The sequence below is a fragment of the Homo sapiens genome, chromosome 5, assembly GCF_000001405.40.
Source record: "Homo sapiens chromosome 5, GRCh38.p14 Primary Assembly".
Lineage (NCBI taxonomy): Eukaryota > Metazoa > Chordata > Mammalia > Primates > Hominidae > Homo > Homo sapiens.
The window spans coordinates 52,945,959-52,968,729 of NC_000005.10; the positions used below are offsets into that span (position 1 = coordinate 52,945,959).

At 36.4% G+C, this 22,771-nt stretch overlaps 1 protein-coding gene and 1 long non-coding RNA gene across 2 annotated transcripts in view; one reads left to right on the forward strand and one right to left on the reverse strand.

The window, feature by feature from the left end:
* Positions 1-13,251, forward strand: part of ITGA1 (integrin subunit alpha 1) — a 171,294-nt gene extending 158,043 nt beyond the window's left edge. The window contains exons 28-29 of the mRNA NM_181501.2: positions 1,387-1,503; positions 6,449-13,251. Coding sequence (NP_852478.1) covers positions 1,387-1,503; positions 6,449-6,493 — 162 coding nt within the window. The 3' untranslated portion in view covers positions 6,494-13,251. The remainder of the gene's footprint in view (positions 1-1,386; positions 1,504-6,448) is intronic.
* ITGA2-AS1 (ITGA2 antisense RNA 1) overlaps positions 1-22,771 on the reverse strand; it is a 59,681-nt gene that overhangs the window by 15,353 nt on the left and 21,557 nt on the right. The window contains exon 3 of the long non-coding RNA NR_186583.1: positions 2,867-2,949. This is a non-coding gene — a long non-coding RNA (ITGA2 antisense RNA 1). The remainder of the gene's footprint in view (positions 1-2,866; positions 2,950-22,771) is intronic.

Here is a 22,771-nt window from a genome sequence, read left to right on the forward strand (position 1 = left end):
AACCTAAAAAATTTGAGTATGGTTTATGTTGGAAAAGTACATATGATTCCTAAATTTATGTGTTAAAATTTTATAATGAGTTTTATTTTCCCTAAATATTAGTTAAAAATTCCCCTGGAAATATTTATTCTACATTCATCCTAAAGGAAAAATTATATCTATATTGATAAAATTACTAAAAGTGATCATTTTGTAATTGTGTGATCTGAGGAAAGTCACTGATCTTATCTAGATTCCGGTTTCCATATCTGTAAGTTCAGGGAATTGTTTTACATATGTTTAAAATCTGCCTTGCTGGGCTTAGTGGCTCATGTCTGTCATCCCAGCCTACTCGGGAGACTGAGATGGAAGGATCACTTTAGCCCAGGAGTTTGAGATCAGCCTGGGCAAAATAGTGAAACCCCATCTGTGTTTTGTTTTGTTTTGTTTTAAGAAACTGTCATAATGGTCTGATGCTGTATATGTCTACATTCTTGCCAGCTCTGTCACCTACCTGGAGTGATTTGAGAGGTTTTGATTAGTATCATGCATATACAAATCTCTCCCCTGTTAGTTTCTTTTTCTACCCTAATCTTCCCTCTAGGTAAAGAAATTGAGGTGTTACTGTTAAAGGCAAATACAGGGCTTGAACTATTACTAGCCATTGATATCTACCCTAAATTAATTTTTTTCAAATCCCCCAGGGATGAGACACAGAGCAGATAGGTTTCATTGAGGTTTGAGTGCCACCCTGAGAGAGCTTGAGTAGCTGGAACACTAAAAGCGGTCCATTTTACAGCTTTGCTTCAGTTAAAACCTGATTTATACATGTGGACCCAGTGATAAGTCAAGTAGAAGAAACATTGTGGTATAATGAAGAGCACACTGGGAGTGAATACATATGCAAACATTCACTTACCCATACACTTGACATGTATGCATTATACTTTCAATTTATAAACAAAAAATTATGCACACTAGAAATAAAATAAGGAGACTTTCTCAGGTTCTTATGACAACAAACTGCGACATTCCAATCTAAACTAATGCTATTGTGATAATACAGTAGTGTACTAATTAATCTTTAACACACATAATACTTTGGTTCTCCCTGAGTTAAACAGAAATTCACTCCTCCCCTTGAGCATTCCAATCCATTGACATTTAACCCTTTATGTATAAATTTCAGAAGGATAATATTATAAATACCTTTTGGTAATAATAAATTTGACATAGTTAGAGATTTAGACTAGATGAAGAGCATTTTCTAATGTAAATCTAATGTTTTCTCATTATATAGTAACGAGATTAATGCACTGGTAGAGAATTGTAGCCTGCAAGAACTCAATGTTCCAGGAGTTCTAATAGGTGTTTATTATGTTAACAATCTTGTTTAATAATTTTCAGCTTGCTATTCAAATATCCAAAGATGGGCTACCGGGCAGAGTGCCATTATGGGTCATCCTGCTGAGTGCTTTTGCCGGATTGTTGCTGTTAATGCTGCTCATTTTAGCACTGTGGAAGGTAAACACCAAAATTCCTTTGACTCTCTACTTCAATCATCAACAGCAAACTGGAGAAATAAGCTCTGATATATTCAGACTATGTAATATAGTATTATTACAGCAATGAAACAAACGTTGAAATGATGACTAAGGGAAAGAAAAAAGAAAAATGCGTATTTCAAACACTGCACACAACTTGACCCAATTTTTGTAAAGGAAAAAAAACTTATTTTAAGTTAGAAATAGTCAAAAATTCACAAAAGTATCTTTCTAGAGTTTAGTATGATAGGGGACTTTCACATGTGTAACAATTAAAATTTTATAATAAGTATGTATTTCTTTTATAAACAGAGAACAATGAAAACTGTCTTTTATAGAGAAAGAAAAAATGAATTCCTATGTCAATTTAAGGATATATAAGCAGTAGATTCAAGGTTAAAATAAGCCTTGTTTTAATCACATCTCCATGTGTCTTAAATATCAAATAATTCTTTAATGTTTAAATATATATGGCACATTTTATGTAATAAATTGTGTGCCTGAGTGGAGGATAAGGGATCAGCTGATGTAGGGGAGATCTTAAAGTTTCACAGACTCCTATTTCAAATTCTGTGGTAAATGTGAGTAACCACCTATTTTGTGTCAAGTAACTCTGGATATTTATGTAATGTTTTGCTTAGGCTGAAATAGACATGATTTTTAAAACTCTTAGCAGCTGTATAATTTTCACATTAAGTAGAATTGAGATGACAGCTTTTGGGATAAGTTGAATAGAGAATAACATCCCATACAGAGTTGAATGTTTTTTCAATTAAATATCAAATAAGCATTTATTCTAGCATAATATCCCCCTAGATTTTACCTATTGTTTTGTTAAATAGTTAAATTATGTTAAAAATATAGGTTGTGGCTACATATTAATTGTTCTATTACCTGAGCAACATAATTATTTAATCAAATAGTTTAAATAGCAAGTTTCTCTCCCACTGAAATACCAACTGTTCCTATCCTTTCTTACTCTCCTATGACTCACTTCCTCTTTTGAGGGGCTTAGTCTCAGAGGAGATGGTGAACAAAGCCAGATGTAGGTCAGTGGCATTTAATTCAGTAAATAGAATCCATGGCTTTTCTCTAGCAAAGTTCCCCAAACAAAATTCTCCACTATAGCCAATGTCCAGCTCTTCCTTCTACTTTATAAGGGATCAGTGTTCTCTCTGTAATACCTAGCTTTGCCACACTGTGGTACCCAAGGCCTGGCTTATTGGTGTCAAGGTTGTACTTGAAATATAGGAAGTGGTTTCTTCATTTCTATGCACCTCTAATAGAGAGTGTTACTGTTGATTTTTTTCAGCATAGTCTTCTGTTCTCAGCACTGCACTTACCTCTATGGTTTTAGAACACCGCTGGCAGGAGAAGAGGAAAACCAGAGCTGATATTTGGATAGGTTCTTTCAGGCCTTGTACCTCTGTTTCAGACAAACAAATAGGAAATTTCAGTCACCTATTTTTCAGTCAGTAGTCTGAAAAAGCATAAATGTAAAACTAAGCTCATTGTTTCATCCAGATAATGATGTGTTGATACATTCTGACAGCTTCTTAGGTTATTATTAATATTATTATTATTGCAGGCCCAAAAGAAGATCATTTGACAAACTTTGGGCTGTCTTACCCGGTAGAAATAGTTCAGCCACTTCATTGGGAGGCCCAGCAATCAGAACTGTGATTCTAAGGTAGAAGGGAAGAAACTAGCTCTTATCGAATGCTTACTATGTGCAGGGAGCTATTTTAAACATTTCTGCTTTAAGCATTCCCACTTAATACTCATATCAACCTTATGAGGTCGTATGAACCTCCTCTTTTAAGTGAAGAACATAAAATTTAAGTATATTTCCCAAAGACACATAGTGAGATTCAGAGTAAGGATCTGAATTCTGTGCCAAAACCACTGACTATTATCACTCTGTGTTCTCTCTTGCTTCCATTCACTCTGGTGTCCTTGCAACAATCTTTTCGACCAAGTATTTTAACTACATTTTACACCTGAGGACATTAAAGCAAAGGGAGGTAAAGTGACTCTCCCATGATTACTAGCTAGTAAATGACTGGATTCAAGGAATGATCTACAGAGCTCTTTCTTTTTCCAATATATCCTACTGCTGCAGGCTATAGGGTAGGGCTCTTTACTCTGGAGCTCCAGGAGTTGGGTTTTGTTCAAGAGAGTCATGAACTCTCTTAAACACATAATACTGTCTTTGGTTTTGGAATGAGGGTCCCTGGTTGGATTCAGACTTTCGGTAGTTCCATTATATCAAGAAGGCTAATCCCACTTCCCCCTACTTTAAAGTTCTGTTGGAAGCTGCCTGAAGCATGAGTTCAGTTGCAGTAGGTTCAGAAGAGCTACTCTTATCCCAGACATCTTTTTTATTCTAACTAGATCTGGATCAGACACCTCAGGACTATCCCTTCTTCCTTCCTTTCCTGAATCCCACCAGTTTGGAGTTCATTGGAACTCCCAAGTCTGAGTCTCTGTGTAAGAGACAGGCCAAAAGTTTCTCTTAGAGCAGAGATTCACTTTCAAAAGACACAGTCTTTATATCTTTGTCTTCATCATACACATGGCAAAAATTAAAGCTTGACAAAGTGTTAGTAGCTGCTTAATACACTTCATGATTGATGGGAGGAATCTTGTAGGGGACGTAGGTTTAAATAGGTGGAGAAACTTGTCCTGAACTGTGGTACCACATGCCGGGGGAGATGCCAGCACACCAGGAGCCATGAGAGACTCAGAACATTCCTCTCTCCTAACTTGATGTCATAATGATGCCTGAAGTTCCTCAACTGATGATTTATTTATTAATCCTAAAGCTTTATTCTTCATCCAATATACATGTTCTGGGTGGGTGTGGATGGGGACTGGTGTCTCACCACTTTTTAGTCTTTTATACATTAGTATGAATTTATTCATTCAGCAATTATTCCATGTTATATTCATTAAGCACTTACTTTTCTGACAGTTATCACCTCATTAGAGCCTTTGCCATAGGGTTTTGAACAAGGGATCATGAAGCAAACACAGGAAGGAAAAAATGAAAGCCAGTGCTGCAAAGAAAGTGTTGGGGCTGAAAACAAACTCTATTGGTTTCAAATTTGGGCTAGGATTGGCCCAGTCCATCTTGAAGCTATAAACTATTTTCTCCTAATCTCCACTCTTTGCCACTCAACTTCTCTTAAAAACCCATGTTAATTGGTTGGGTGGAGTGCTTAGATAACAGAAGTTATTTTAAAATAGAACATTTAATGTGTAGAAGCCAAGGAGCATTGTAAAGAAGCAAAAAGAGCTGTGAGAGATCAGAAGCAAAGCAGAGTGGGAAGGAGAAAAAGTCTTAGAATCCACCACCTGCTTTTGTGAAAGCCTTGTCTGTTTATTTTTGACTCAGGACATGCAGGCACAAGTTAAGAAGCCTAATGGTTTGTGAATCTGGAACTTTTATACTTGGCTCATATGAAAAAGCCTGAGACGTGTAGGAGAGCTGGCATTTGGGGAAGAAAAACTTATTGTTTTCATGTGTATTTGTTCCGTTACCGCCTTTTCTTCATCTACCACCAACTAGATGATGGCATAATAGAAGACATGAGCCCTGAATAAAAATTTTCCAACCTAAAAGTGCATATTTTTGAGGGTTTATCCCCTCTAAGCCCTCAGTTGTTTAATAATTATTTTATAAACACATAGTTCCCTGGCATAATTTGCCATAATTTCGTGATTAAAATGATGTAGAGGTGCCACACTTTTAAAGAATTAACTCATTGCCTTTGCTCGATCTATTATAGCCCCCTCTCAAATTTAAAAAATATATACAAATTTGAAAAATCACTTACCTATGACCCTTAATTTTCTTTTTTTAAAAATAAGCATTTTAGGTTAGATAATTGCAAAGATCCCTTCTATCCCCCATACTTAGTTTTGTTATTCTATAGGATGGGAAACAATTGCAGCACTTATAACTTTTTATGATGCCCCAAATTGCAAAGCATAATGAAATATGGCTCACCATCCACCACGATGTGAAATTTTTCTTATGGTCAACAACTTCATTTTTTATTTCCAAATGATATAGTGTGTTTTCAAGAGGCTTTTTATATCAAATCTATATAAGCAGACGTCCTGATGCATTTAAAGTTAATACAGACAACTCAGAAATCTCCCTAACGCCCTAGCCATAATATACCTGTCAGATTCCCTACCATCTCTAATGACCTCAACTTATGGTCATCGATCATTTGATGGAAATTTCTCTGCCACATCCCTGAAAAAAAAGATGATGGCAAAGAAGAGACAATGCTAGCTAATTGCAGTTTGTCTCCCAAAATATTTTCCCAGAAGCTTTTAATTAGTTCAATGTGTATACTATATTTTACTAGGGGTCATGGTGTATTTAACCAATGAAAATATTAAAAATGAAACCGCGGCCCGGCGCGATGGCTCACGCCTGTAATCCCAGCACTTTGGGAGGCCGAGGCAGGCAGATCATGAGGTCAAGAGATAGAGACCATCCTGGCCAACATGGTGAAACCCCGTCTCTACTGAAAATACAAAAATTAGCTGGGCATGGTGGTGCATGCCTGTAGTCCCAGCTACCCAGGAGGCTGAGGCAGGAGAATCACTTGAACCCGGGTGGCGGAGGTTGCAGTGAGCGGAGATCACGCCACTGCACTCCAGCCTGGTGACAGAGTGAGACTGTCTCAAAAAAAAAAAAGAAAAGAAAAAAAAAGAAACAGCAATTTAATAAATGTCATTTTTTGACATTGAATATTAATAGGTCAATGAGAAAATATTTCTTAATTATATTAGTTGTGTGCCCAGCATTGCCAATATACTATTAAATTTAATTCTATCCAAAGGATTAATATTTGCTACCTAAATTAAAATAGTTAATTGTGTTATGTTTTGTGTTTTCTCAACAGATTGGATTCTTCAAAAGACCACTGAAAAAGAAAATGGAGAAATGAAATATTTTATGAAAGAAAATAATAACAATTATTCAATAATCTATCCTCAGGTTTGCCTCAAATATGTGACAAGAAATGTATAATTCATGACATAGTCATGTAACTATGTAATCCATCAGGGATTCATTACTTGGAAAATGACAGGTCATGCATTATCCAAAAACAATACCAAAAAGACATATTTTATAAAATGACAAAAAATATTTTACATAATTACTCATTTTTGTTGAGTAAGCAAAATTACAAAGTGTTTTTAAAAAAACCTGTACAAATATGTTTATGTATTAAATCACCATCCAAAATATTTAAGGAATATATAAAAAGATTTTTATGATCATAGAAACATCTATTTTCAAAACAATATAAATTAAGCTTTTCCCCTTGATTCCTGTTGGATATCCATGTTCAGCATGACAGTCAGCACTCGTAAATGCCAAGAAAAGAATTACCTGAAAAAGATCATTTCTCCCTATTCAAATGAGAATATTTTCCCTTGGTAGAATCCATATACAATATGGATTGAAAATTAAGTCACCAAGAATACATTTAGCATCTTTGTGTTGGGTTCTATACCTAAAAATTTTCCCTCCCTGCCCAAGGTGATTGGAAAGTACTGCAATTGAGCTAAAATTTTATCTAGGATGGAAAATCAGGATAGACTCGTTTAAAAACAAGTATATTAAATGGGTTAAATTAAGCTTTTACAGAACATGCTTAATTTTGATATTGAGCTCTAAATGCAAAACTCTTTTATACTGAAAAAACACTTAAAGTAGTTTTGTGTGGCATCACAGTGATTTGTCATGAAAAGCCATATATGGGGGACATGCTAAAATGGCTTCTGAATGAAATACGACAGCAGAGAAAGATGCCACTGAAATGCTGAAATTATCTTTGCTGAGCAGCTTTTGAATGCTAAGGGTTCCAGTATGTGACCCAAAGAAAGAGTTGTCTCAACTCCTTGGTACAGGGTTCATTCAAACCCCCAAGCTGTGAGAGTGTGTTTATTTTTAATTTTTTAAAAGGTATTTAATTTCCAACCACACTTCTTATTTTTTTGAAAAGACAATTTTCCATTTCAGTATTACATTTTACCAAGAAGTCACTGCTTTTTAGGTGTGTTGCATCAATATTTAAATAAAATCCCAGAAATGTATTTTAAAGAATTTCAGGTTTGAAAACTCAAACCAACAGGAAGATATCACACCTTTGTATGTGCTTCTTTGTTCTTGAAGTAGTCATTATGGTTCATTGGAATCTACTGTAGCATAAGCTCCTAGGTTGCTCCATTTCTTAGGAAAATAGCAATGAATGAATGTATAGTAGCTGCATGTGTGAACTACTGCTGTAAAGTTTGCTGACATTTCTGCAACAACATTTCTCCATCTGATTTACCAGAACCTGTAACAAGACCAGAACATGTATTCATCCAGAAACTCCTGGGCTCTGCTTTGTTCAAAGAGGAGCAAATCCACATAGAAATTAAATGTTATAAATTTATTTTTTTAAACTAATTTCCAAAGAATTTAGCTGAAGACTCAGAGTCAGCCTACCTCTTGACTCTCCACATCCGCATCTAAGATCCTGAAGGCCAAAGGAATGCGCCTGTGGGATGCCAAAGCCATCAGTAGCTGGAAGAAAGAATACCTCTTTCTAGAGGTTTGGTGTCCTCTTGCTGGCCTGTCATTATTTGGAAATACGCGCTTTTGGAATTTCCTTCATTTTCGCTATTTCCAGGTTCAGAAATCATACCTACCACTTGTTCTTTCTTTGCCCAGTAAAACTCAGGGTTTCTCTTATTCAGAGTTACCATGTTGCACACCCCCAGTGCTCAGCCTGCCCAGAAGCCCTTCTCTGATCTCAGCAAGATCTTAGTAGTAAAGCTAACGGATCCATTGAAATTCATACTCAGCATCTGTGACTACTAGACAAAGCCCATTTACTGAACCATAAGTGTGCACTTTTAAACTAAATTGTTAACTGAAAGGGAAAAAATAGAAATGAGGGCATTTTGAAGTTTTTAGAAAAGAGAGGAAGAGCTGTTGGCCAGATCAAAGAGATACTTATAAGCCCGGCACAATTTTTAACATAAGTCATTCCTGGCTATTAAGTAAAATATTTCATGAACCAGAAGTCCTGTTTCTCTAATATTATAATTTGTTGAGGTTTGTGTGTGTGTGTGTGTGCATGTGCAGACACATGTACACATATAAATTGAATACAAAAATAGCTCTATAACACCAAAAAACAGAGTTTACAGAAAATAAACACAAAAGCTATATCTGCAAGACAAGTTTGATTCATCTAGTTTCATATAGTTTCATATAGTTTCATTTTTATTAATATTTAGGTTTAACTTATAGTTCTGCAATTATTTAAAAAACAAGTACAGAGCGTTTGATTAAAAAAAGTCAACAAATGTTTCAAAACAGCTTTGTACAAATGTTATAAAACATATTTAATGATTAAGAAATGTACTAGACTCTATCATTTACTTTTAAAACATTTAATTAGAAAAACAGGTGATATTTAAGACTATTTATAAACTTATTGGCCAAATTGCCAAAAAGTTTCTTTTTCTCTAACTTTGGTATTCTAAATAATTGATTATTGCTCCCATTGTAAACTGAACCATGTATGCACTCTCTTTTCTGACCAAACTACAATGGTATATTGGTAAATTATTTAACAACACACTGTCCAGGAGGGAAAAAAAAAACAGTCTCTGATTTGTATCATTTGCCAATTTCCATGGTCCAAATATTCTCTCTCCATTTTCAAACTACCAAAGTGACCCTAATCAGCTTACAAAATTCCTGGAAATGTATCTGCCACCTCTTACCAACCAGTGTGAGCTGACTTCAGCACACCACTGAGACAGATTACACGATAGACAGATAGATAGATAGATAGATAGATAGATAGATAGATAGATAGATAGATATTGATAGAGAACATGTTGTGTCTATATACATATCCAATGACACACAGTATAATCATGTTTTAAATTATGCCAAAAGTACTGATTATATCAAGCCCAGTAAACATAATGCTACACAGCACCCATTCTTTAATTTTGATTTCTAAAATTATAACCTTCCTTTGATATTAATAAAATGTTATGAACTTGCAGGAGAAGGAAGGAGTTGAAAGAAGGAAAATATAAAGGGTGATCCACAGTGAAAATCAGACCTACACAAGCCACAAAAAAATTGTCTCATTTTCCCAAGGAATTCAAAGTCCTGTGATACACATTACAAAAGATGACACTTTGTAAATATTTTGAACTTCTATGATCCAATTTCAACTTCATTGGTCCAATTTGTCAAACTATTTTCCTCTGAGCACTAGATTCATGGGCAATTTAATCTCTGAATATTTTCTGTGTCATAAGTGTGCTTGAAAAGAGGCTTGTAGTAAACAGATATTTTTACAAAATTTGATGCTTCTGCAACCATAATAATTTTATCTATAAATGCGTATATACATATATATATATATATATATACACATACACTCACATGCAGATATTTACATATATAGATATTCTCTTTTCCTTTTATAAAATCAAAGTCTAGGCTCAATTGGAAAATGGAAATATTTGCACCAAAAGAAAAAAGTGCCATTGTTGTGATCAATGGAGTAAAGCTGGGGTATAGTAGAGGCTGGGGAATCCCTGCCCATGTTCTCTCCAAGGCCACAGCTTGCACACCGTGAATGGTGGCCCCACTGGCTCCATGGAGTGTGCCTTCACGCGGGGGAATGTCCTTGTCCAACACGCTGTAATCTACTCCATGGGAACTGACTGTCCTGCTTTTCACAACATTGAGAAACAGGCCCAGAGCCTGTCTCATGTGCCAGGTGCAGTCACATTATTGTTAAAATAAAGTGGCTTCTGACAAATCAGTTTTTCAAAATAGCATCCTATGTACTTTTCATTTCTTCCAACAACCCTCAGGCCCCCTTTTGCCAGTTTTCTCCCCCAGGGGAGATTTTCAAGACTACTGGAGAAAAATCTGTTAATAAAACATTTGCTCTGAGTACCAGCTTCAGTGACTCAATCATTTATACAGGATTTCAGTGTTTTGTTCTGCAGCGGTGTTCTAAAGGGTTCACATAGTATAATGGAGGAGGGACAAAGCAGAATATACTTCCAAGCTGGAACATCTTTAAGACATTTACAAACTGTTATGGGACACTATCAGCAACTACGCCTGGGGAAGCTAGCAGGATTTAGCTCTTCAATGGCCCTCCAAATGCACCCAACAATCGCCAACCTCACCCATGGAAATCATCTAAAAAATGAAAAGAAGGGCCTTAAAGTCCTCACATGGATGCTGTATTTATAACTAAAATGTACAGTTTAATTCTAAATAGCAGGCTTTTAAATGCAAACAGCTTCCAGGTGAGTCCTCTGGCTGCCAATCAGACTGCTGATTCTAAACCATTCTCACACAGAATTTCTGAAACCAACACCAGGTATTAATTGTTAACTGCAGTGAAAGGAAACCAAGGCACATTACAAAAGGCTAAATGCTGCTGTTTCTAAGTGGAAGCACTGTTGAACAACACTCTTAGGTGGAATAAGAAAATTAGGGTTAAACTGTAACATTGTAATCGGACGAACAAATCAGCATCTTTGATCCTCAGGTTAAAATTTAATCTTAAATTTAGAAATTCAAAGTAACAGCCTTTAACCATTAACCTTGAGGAAAATGTGAAGTAGCATCTGGAGTCTCTTAAGCCCCAGCCCTGTTGTCCCCTACAGCATCTCCACCCAGGAAGTCCAGTTCCTAACTAATGGGAATGGATCCTTTTCCCATTATAAAGGGCCGATGCTTAACCCTTGAACCCACTACTGTTCTTATGCCCCAAGATCTGCACCTTACATCAGGCACCCGGGAATGCTTCTCATTGAAATTTTACCATACCAAAAAATATGTAAGGGTGACTCATCACTCCTAACTTTGGACTCCTTGCTTTGAGATCGGTATTTTTTTCTCTCTCTTTACATATAGCAAAAGCTTTCCCCAGTAGCTGATGAATTTAGAACTTTATACAAGACTCCCTAGCATTTTCCTCCTCCCACAGGCTGGAGAATTTCAGTGCTATGAGACTGGGCAGTAGGAGCCAGAGCCAATTTGCAGGATCTCTTTTCCTTCTGCCTTCCAGTTGGCTTCTCTTCTCAGCTGCGTGGTGGGGATGATTTGGGGTTTCCTCAGCAAGGCCATTCTCTGCCTTGTGCCCATAGCAGGGCCTTGGGTGGTGACATGTTATCTTTGTTGGTGAGCAGACACTCAGAGATCCTTTAATTATCTGACACACCAGGGAAATCTTGGCAATCAACTAAGGACCTGTGACACTCATAACTATGTTTACATTTGGCTTTAGCATATTTCAGGTAATATCTTTATGAAAAAAAGATGAAGTATGGAATTGTAGGAACTCTTTTGCAATAGACTGAGATCCAATGTTTAAATCTTTTTATTTCAGTTTGATCTGTGCCTTTAGATTGGGGACAAAATTTTAAAAACAAATCTTCCAAATGACACCACAATGAAAGCCAGTTGTGGTCTTGAAAAATCTCTCTATTGCATTACTTATCCTCACCCTTGTTTTTTAAGAGGTAGAGAGAGATTACTGGGAAGCAGTGAGCCAACATAATTGTCCTTTCCTCTACAGAATAGCTGTGCAGAAGGGGACCACCACACTTAGGACCAGTGCCAGGTGACAATCTTTCCGTCATGCTGCTGCAGCATTTTGCACCTTGAGAGACAGGAAAAAAAATGGGGGTGAGGGAGTGGAAGATGATGAAACTATTTCTCTTTTATGTCTACATCCTTACTCCTCAAAATACTTTAAGCTCACTCAGACCCCATATACCCTGCCCACAATACTAACACATGTACTTTGCATAAGTAAATTGTTGATTAAATAAGAGCAAAACTATATTCTTATGTGTAGATTAACCAAGGCTAATTTCCTGGAGTTTAATACACTTTGGATTCAAGTAAAAACAATCACTTAATGCAGCAACATCTCAGACCCTCTTCACTCTAGAACCGTTTTATACAAGAGAACTCAACATTTACTGTTTTATTTCTGATATTGCCTGCCATTACTCAGGATGCAAGAGATGCTCTGCATTCCTTATTAGGAAAAATTGGCCTGTAAGGAGAATGGTATACTGCGTATTACTACTGTGAGACTGTAAAATTGTTAATGGACAGTGTAAAGAATTGTATTCATTTTATTAGCAAGAAAAATATTGCATACAAGAACTACTGCCCTGAAATATCCATCACTCCAATGAACTGTTCTGCCTGATCTAACATAAAGTTATATTTCATTGCTCATTTTTTTTTGCCTCACTAAAATGACTAACTTAAGGGAATGTGCATTTCTACAAGACTTTAATTGGATAAACTCATTAGAAGAAAATGTTTCGATTGCATTCAGGAACAAAGAAGCATAACCTTTGTTGACTCTTGTAATTTATTATATGCTTCATTTAAACCCATTTTGTAAAGAAATCAGGTAACAGTCATTTAATCTGATATAATTAGAAATAGCTGAGAGAGTAAAAAAGCATTTTGAATGTCCTATGTATGGCATATCCTGTACACCAATTGAAGGTCAGAGCTTTGGTATTTTTGTATAATTCTGTCTTATCTGGTGCATCAGCTGTGTATTTTACGTCAAGGTAAATGAGCATCCTGTTTTATATGTTAAATTTTAAAAATGACTTTTTCAAAGAAGAATGTGATTGCTGTGATTTTTAAGTGTGTATATTTTTTCCAAAATTAATGTGACTTCTTCTGAAGCTCCGACCTTTTTTTTTTTTTTTTGATGCTTTGGCAGGTTTTCACTCTAATGCTCTAAAAGGAAAAAGCAAAAAGTAAATTAAGTCTGTCTGTGGTGTTTCCTGTACAAGATTTAGCAATGTGATTAGTTTTTTTGTGAACTTGAGACAAAAACCACAGGATCTATAATACTATATATCTTCTTCTAATGAGATGTTTTAATAATAAATAGTCTGCAGTATAAACATAGATTATACCACATAGGTGATATAAAAAAAATCAAGAAATTTAAACGTAGTTATTTTCTTTATTCAATTTATACTTTATTATATAAAATTATTTAACATATTAGGGCTAGAAGAAAATACAGGAAGAAGTTTTAGTAAAAATAACACATGGTCATCTTATTTAAAATTTCACCCTCAAACTATGCTGTGGGGTGAGTGAGAAGCTATTGTTACAGAAGACACAGACTGAATTATGAAGGGGTTATTTGTCAGGTCATCTACCTAAGTTTTGGCAGAGCACATTTTCACTGCCCTATCTTTTCTCTCTTACTGTAAAGTAAGTGCTTTTTCTCTCTCTTCACCCCTTATCCAGGAAGAGAATACAGTGGAGTTACTAAGGAAGAATCTGGATATATTCACTGGAAAATAAATGGTATACCTCAAGATTTATTATTTGTACATCCAGAGAATATCACAACATTTACTTCCTTACCTTCATTTACTTTGATTATAAAAATAATGTGATCCGCATAGGCAGATGTCAAGTGTAATTTCACCAAACAGAAGTGATCATGAATTAAGAAGACTGAAGATTATGTCTATTTATTCTTTATAACAGCAATATTATTTTAATTGCTTAAAAATATGTGAATATTAATTGTTAAGAAAACATTTATGGTAAAAGGGGGATGTATACACATGTAGATAATTTGAAAACCACAAGAAATAATTTTAAAATAGCCATCATACCAGTACCAGAAATTATATGCTAAAAATCATAAAGAATATAGTACCCTGTACTTTTAAAAACTATAATATTATATTTCTTAATTTTTCTCTAGTAAAAAAAGGATGATGGTCATCAAATACTTTCCCTTGCTTTGAAGTTGACAATAAGGAAGAAAATTACCCACTCGCCTCCTTCTCCTTCTGAGCCAATAACTGCTATACACATACACATACACATATGGCACACTAGAATTCTCCATAGTCTGCATGGAGAATAATTACTTCTTTACCTACTTCTTCAAGCAAAAGTGGGATGGGGCAAAGAGCAAAGAGTGATGGGGGAAAGATGGGTAAGATAATGTCACTAAGAATGATAGCATATTTGGCCTTGTTTATTATGCAAACCAACTATATTATTTTATTAATAATCCCAGAGAAAGAAAGAATTTTTGCCAGAAACAAAAGACCTGGCATCATTACAAGCATTAGCAAAAAAAAGACAGTAAATAAGGAACAGAGGAACACATGAGACAGGAGACATATAGAAAACAAACAGCAATATGGCAAATATAACTCTGGCCATATCAATAATTACATTAAAGGTAAATGATCTAAACACCCAAATCAAAAAGCAGAGATTTTCAGACTGATAAAAGAATAAAGTTGATCTACATGCCCTCTAAAAGAGAAAGACTTTAGCTTGAAAGGTGCAAGTGGGTTGAAAGAAAAATGATGGAATAAAAATACACTACGCAAATAGTAACCATAAGAGAGCTGGAGTGGCTATATTATATCAGACAAAATAAACTTTAAGATGTGTCTAGTTCCAGGCATAGGAAGATTCTAATCTTGTGAAGGAGACAGGGACCCATGGAAATCTGCTAAGCATGTAGATATTCTAGATTTTTGCTTGGATTGACTTTGATGTCCTGTAGATTTTCAAGGACCATTGACACCTGAAATAAAACTCGGATGAAGGAAGAATCCATGGAGTCACCCCACTTTGAAATTTGTCTTAAGTTCATGTGTAGGGGGATCCCTAACCTACACAGATTCTGGTTGCCATGGTCTAATTGCTACCCCAGTGGCAGGAATAATAGAACAGGCATCATAGTCCATAGGCACCTAGGCTTCCAAGCAGTTCACAGATTTTGGTCATGTGCCAGGTCTCTAGTTAGTACTTCACTGGCAAGTGCTGGCTTGAATTAATAAAAGCAGCATTGAAATATCTGTGGGTTTTGTCTTTAGCTTCCACTTCACTCAGCTATTTTTTTGTTTTTGTAGTATCTTTCAACTGATTGTGTGGCATGAATTCATTTAGATACCACAACTCAGAATGGCATTCCAAAGGCAAGAGTGGAAATGTCTCAACTTGGTAAATAAAAATAGCAACCAGATTCAGCCATCAGACGGTAATTAGTGGAGCTGGAAGCTAGCCATTCCAAGGACTAACTATCCTTGATAAAACGCCCAAGGCTCTTTAGCTTTGCATGCTCAATCTCTCCTTTTCTGTTTTCTTCCTTCCTTTACTCAGATTTTTCTATTCTATTTCACTCAAGTACCATCTGTTATTCCTTTTCACACACTTTTCAGACCCTTCTTTTATTCCTGCCCATTCTGCATACCTCATCGTTAAAAGGCGGGTAATTCTACAAAGATTCCAATTAGTGTATTGTTTGACGGCTGATCAGGTTTTCCCCCTTTTAAGATGAACCACTGAATAAATGGTGTAAAGAATGTAGTCTTGTGTTGCCAACATCTTGTCAGAATTTTTTTTGAAGTTTGAGTTCACTATTGTCCACTTGAGTTGCCATTAAGCATAATGTATATCTCTGTGTGAACATGTCTGAGCCCATATGTGAGCAAACACGTGAATGAAGATTGTATTTTTAGATGGAAAGTCATTTGAATTCTGAAAGTGGCAGGACATGTAAGGCAGTAATACAGGGAAAGTAGGTAGTTTTGAATGAAACTGATGGTGACTGGTGAAGTCTCCCAATTTTCTATGGGGAGGGGAAGAAAGGTAAGAGACTAACATTTGTTGTCTGCCTCCCACATGCCAGGCATTGAGCTAGGCAATTTTCCAACATCAAGCCTTTTAATCCTATCAGCAACACTAAATGGTATTATTATTATTATTCCTATTATACAGATGATGTAATTGAGACCCAAAGGACCTAAGGAGCTACTTCAAGGCTATAAAGCTAGTAAGTAGTGATGTAGAAATAAAAACCAAGATCTATCTGAGTCCGAAGCTGCTTCCCCAAGGACAGGAACTTGAGAGGAAGTCACTGGAAGAGAAATGAAAACACAGAGGTAGAGGAGAACACACATCTATTTTGGTAGTACTTGGCACATAGTAACTTTCAGTAAATATTTGTTTATTGCTGAATGGATGCAAAAATTGATCAACTATATTAGTCAGAGATCTCCAGAGACATAGAGCTAATAGGAGATATATACATATATATGTGTATATAGGAGAGATATCTATCTTACACACACACACACACACACACACACACACACACACACACACACACACATATATATATATATATATATATATGGAGAGAGAGAGATTATAAGGAACTGCTTCACATGGCTATGGAGGCTGAGAAGTCCCATGGTCTACGGTCTGTAAACTAGAGACCCGGGAAAGCTGATGGTATAGTTCCAGTCCAAGTCTGAAGGTCCAAGACTAGGAGAACTGATGATGTAAGTGGTGGAAGAAAGCTGGTGGTGTAGTTCTAGTCCAAGTCCAAAGGCCTGAAAGTCAGAAGTGCCAGTGGTATAAGTCCCAGTCCAAGTGTAGGAGAAGACTGATATCCCAATTCAAACTGTCAGGCAGAGAGAGCAAATTCTCTCTTACCCTGCCTTTTGTTCCATTCAGGCCTCCAACAGATTGGATGAAGGCTAAAAACACTGGCCATCTGCTTTCCTCAGTCTACCAATTCAAATGCTAATCTCACTCAGAAACACCCTCACAAATATAACCAGAATAATGTTTAACCAAATATCTGGGCACCCTATGTCCCAGTCACATTGACACATAAAATTAATCATCACAAGTCCACCTCTGTCAACTTGTCACCCATACACATCTCCTTAAGCCATACTTAACCTCAAAATAAAGGCAATAACAAGGTCATAATTTCACCAAACATGATACAATTATCCTGCATACCACTAAAAATGCACTAACCCCTTCCCCAGAAAAGGAGGCAAAGTCTTTGAAATTCACTCTTCTCCTTGATGTCTAGTAACTGAAATACTATGATTGAAAATTAACAATACTTAACTATGATATAAAGTCAATACATCTGCAGTTACATGACAAAAGAATCAGAGAGAGTGAAAATCAAAGATATTTTCTTAATACGTACAAATATAATTATATTTAAAACATATTCACATTCTAAACAAAATAAGGAGGACTATTCATAACAATTACAGTCCTCTTTTTTTTGTAACTGGTCACTTGTAGCTGATACTTACAGCTACCTTCTTCCACTAGCCACTCTATGTTCCTTTTCCCTTCAGCAAGCTCCTTATTTGGTCATGGTTCTTCACCTGGTAGAATGACCCAAATCTTCATTCCTGAAGAGTCTGAGCCATTAGTAGTCCTTCCTGGATTGGGCTGTTGTAGCTTTCCATTGATTATAATCACAAGGTAAGGTAATACTCAGTGACACACTAAGGGATCTCTTGGAATTCAAGCATGTTCTTTCTTACCTCAATTGTGGAGTAGCAGTTGAATTTCTCTTCTGTAGCGAGGATCAGCCACCTCACCCAGTATAATATTATAACTCACTTCTTTGCCTATTGATTCAGAGTCATGAGAAGCTCAAAGGGGCCAGGTGGCAATCTTAATTTCCAGTTCAATGGAATCATTTTTGTGTCTCCTGGTGGGAGCATTCTTCCCTTAGGAACTGAGATCCCTAGGCCACCAGAGCATAAGGTTATGAGAACAGAAAGCAAAAATTTTGTTAGTGGGTCCCTGCGGGTAATAGTGAGTGGAGTCACTCCTATTTCCACCTTTGATTCCTGGACTCATGAATCCTAGTTATTGGAGAAACAGCACCATATACTGGACAGTGATTCAGAGTATATTCAGCCTTGTAGAGAATCTTGTCCATGCCCTCTGATGTACTGCCACCTAGCTGGTGCTATAGCTGAGTCTTCAGAAGGACATTCCACTGTTTCATCAGACCAGCTGCTTCAGTATGGTGGAGAACATGGTAAGACTAGTGAAGTCTATGAGCCTGGGCCCACTGCTGCACTTACTTTGCAGCAAAGTGAGTTTGTCAGTCAGAAGCAATGCCATGGGGAATACCATGATGGTGAATAACGTTTTATAGTTATATTTTTCCAGCTCACTTACATCTCTTTGGCAAGGAAATCATGAACATACAAAATGATCACTAATCATAGACTTGAACCCTTGGAGGCAGTTGAAAAATCACCCAGTACTGGAAACTTCTTTACAACATCCCAAACAGTGAAACCTGGTCTATGCTTGGGCACTTTCAACCGTAAGGTCCTCAGTATCCCAGCTGTAGCTTCTGTTCTGCTTTTGTGAAGCACTAGTTATTTGAAAGTATATCTTTCATTTCAAATTCTAATATTTGCTATGCATCAACAAAAGTCTCTGTATTTATGTAAGTGTTCTTTAACCTATTAAGTATAACTTAGGGCAATGAGTTCCATAAACTTACTACCTATCGTGCAAAGTAAGATTTTATTTAATTTTTCCATTTCCTTATTAATTTAAGATCTAAAATCGCCTCTCCAGTTAATGTCTCTCAATGTATTTACCCTCTACTAACTGTCAGAACTCTCAAACCAGTGTTTTCATTCATCCAAAACATAAAGAAGCAGTATTAGTAGACTGTAATATTAGGATAAAATATAGCAATATTAGAATTATTACTATATAGCCGGGCGCGGTGGCTCACACCTATAATCCCAGCACTTTGAGAGGGTGAGGCAGATGGATCACTTGAGGTCAGGAGTTTCAGACCAGCCTGGCCAACATGGTGAAACCCCATCTCTAGTAAAAATACAAAAATTAGCCGGGCATGGTGGCACATGCCTGTAACTCCAGCTATTCGGTAGGCTGAGGCAGGAGAATCACTTCAGCCCAGAAGGCGAAGGTTGCAGTGAGTCAAGATCACGCCACTGCACTCTAGCCTGGGTGACAGAGCGAGACTTCATCTCAAAAAAAAAAATGATTACTATATAATAAACTATTAAACTATTATAAAAATCAAAACAACATATAATAGTGCAAACATAAGTAAGGCATAGTTATGATGCATTTTGCATCTAATGATCTTTTCTCACAGTGACAATACAAGCGGATCCTTGACAGAATTATTAAAGTTATAAGGTGACAGAAATGCATTTTACAAATAACATAGTAGCTTGTAATGGTGCTGATCCAAAAAATACTACCAATTTAAGGTCTTAGATCTTTGTATTATTATGAGAATAGGTAAAATGTTTTACCTCACAACTATTTAACATTAGCCGGCCTGCTTACATCTTTAATACAAATTGAAAACTGGTGAAATTTTTAAATTATTATTATACTTTAAGTATACATGTGCAGAACGTGCAGGTCTGTTACACAGGTATACATAGGTATACACATGCCATGGTGGTTTGCTGCACCCATCAACCCATCATCTACATTACATATTTCTCCTAATGCTATTCCTCCCCTAGCCCCCCACCTCCTGACAGACCCCGGTGTGTGATGTTCCCCTCTCTGTGTCCATGTGTTCTTATTGTTCACCTCCCATCTATGAGTGACAACATGCAATGTTTGGTTTTCTGTTCAAGTGTTAGCTTTCTGAGAATGATGGTTTCCAGCTTCATCCATGTCCCTACAAAGGACATGAACTCATCCTTTTTTATAGCTGCATAGTATTCCATGGGGGCATATGTGCCACATTTTCTTTATCCAGTCTATCATTGATGGGCATTTGGGTTTGTTCCAAGCCTTTGCTATTGTGAAGACTCCTGCAATAAACATTCGTGTGCATGTGTCTTTATAGTAGAATGATTTATAATCCTTTGGGTATATACCCAGTAATGGGATTTCTGGGTCACATGGTATTTCTGGTTCTAGATCTTGAGGAATTGCCACACTGTCTTCCACAATGGTTGAAGTAATTTACACTCCCAGCAACAGTGTAAAAGCGCTCCTATTTCTCCAAAATCTGTTGTTTTCTAACTTCTTAATCATGGCCATTCTAACTGGTGTGAGATGGTATCTAATTGTGGTTTTGATTTGCATTTCTCTAATGACCAATGATAATAAGCTTTTTTTCATATATTTCTTGACCATATAAATGTCTTCTTTTGAGAAGTGTCTGTTCATATCCTTCACCCACTTTTTGATGGGATTGTTTGTTTTTTTCTTGTAAATTTGTTTAAGTTCCTTGTAGATTCTTGATATTAGCCCTTTGTCAGATGGATAGATTGCAAAAATTTTCTTCCATTCTGTAGGTTGCCTGTTCACTCTGATGGTAGTTTCTTTTGCTGTGCAGAAGCTGTTCAGTTTAATTAGATCCCACTTGTTAATTTTGGCTTTTGTTCATTGCTTTTGGTGTTTAGTCATGAAGTCTTTGCCCATGCCTATGTCCTGAATGGTAATGCCTAGGTTTTCTTCTAGGGTTTTTATGGTTTTAGGTCTTATGTTTAAGTCTTTAATCCATCCTGAATTAATTTTTGTATAAGGTGTAAAGAGGGGTCCAGTTTCAGTTTTCTGCATATGGCTAGCCAGTTTTCCCAACAACGTTTATTAAATAGGGAATCCTTTCTCCATTGCTTGTTTTTGTCAGGATTGTCAAAGATCAGATGGTTGTAGATATGTGGTGTTATTTCTGAGGCCTCTGTCTGTTCCATTGGTTTATATATCTGTTTTGGTACCAGTACCATGCTGTTTTGGTTACTGTAGCCTCATAGTATAGTTTGAAATCAAGTAGCGTGATGGCTCCAGCTTTGTTCTTTTTGGTTAGAATTGTCTTGGCTCTTTTTTGATTCCATATGAAATTTGAAGTAGTTTTTTCTAATTCTGTGAAGAAAGTCAATGGTAGCTGGAGGGGGTTGCATTGAATCTACAATTAGTTTGGGCAGTAAAGCCATTTTCATGATATTGATCCTTCCTATCCATGAGCATGGAATGTTTTTCCATTTGTTTTTGTCCTCTCCTATTTCCTTGAGCAGTGATTTGTAGTTCTCCTTGAAGAGGTCCTTCACATCCCTTGTAAGTTGGATTTCTAGGTATTTTATTCTCTTTGTAGCAATTGTGAATGGGAGTTCACTCATGATTTGGCTTTCCATTTGTCTATTATTGGTGTATAGGAATGCTTGTGATTTTTGCACATTGATTTTTGTATCCTGAGACTTTGCTGAAGGTGCTTATCAGCTTAAGGAGATTTGGGGCTGAGACGACGGGGTTTTCTAAATATACAATCATGTCATCTGCAAACAGAGACTGTTTGACTTCCTCTTTTCCTAATTGAACACCCTTTATTTCTTTCTCTTGCCTGATTGCCCTGGCTGGAACTTCCAATACTATGCTAAATAGGAGTGGTGAGAGAGGGCATCCTTGTCTTGTGCCTCTTTTCAATGGGAATGCTTCCATCTTTTGCCCATTCAGGATGATATTGGCTGTGGGTTTGACATAAATAGCTGTTATTATTTTTAGGTATGTTCCATCAATACCTAGTTTATTGAGAGTTTTTAGCATGAAGGGCTGTTGAATTTTATGAAAGACCTTTTCTGCATCTATTGAGATAATCATATGTTTTTTGTCATTGGTTCTGTTTGCGTCATGGATTACATTTATTGATTTGTGTACGTTGAACAAGCTTTGCATCCCAAGAGTGAAGCCAACTTGATTGTGGTGGACAAGCTTTTTGATGCGCTGCTGGATTCAGTTTGCCAGTATTTTATTGAGGATTTTTGCATCAATGTTCATCAGGGATACTGACCTAAAATTTTCTTTTTTTGTTGTGTCTCTGCCAGGTTTTGGTATCAGGATGATGCTGGCCTCATAAAATGAGTTAGGGAGGAGTCCCTCTTTTTCTATTGTTTGAAATAGTTTCAGAAGGAATGGTACCAGCTCCTCTTTGTACCTCTGGTAGAATTTGGCTGTGAATCCATCTGGTCTGGGCTTTTTTTGATTAGTACGCTATTAATTACTGCCTCAATTTCAGAACTTGTTATTGGTCTATTCAGGGATACAACTTCCTGGTTTAGTATTGGGAGGGTGTATGTGTCTAGGAATTTATCCATTTCTTCTAGATTTTCTAGTTTATTTGCATAGAGGTGTTTATATTATTCTCTAATGGTAGTTTGTATTTCTGTGGGATCAGTGGTGATATCCCCTTTATCATTTTTTATTGTGTCTATTTGATTCTTCTCTCTTTTCCTTTTTGTTAGTCTGGCTAGTGGTCTGTGTATCTTATTAACCTTTTCAAAGAAACAGCTCTTGGATTAGTTGA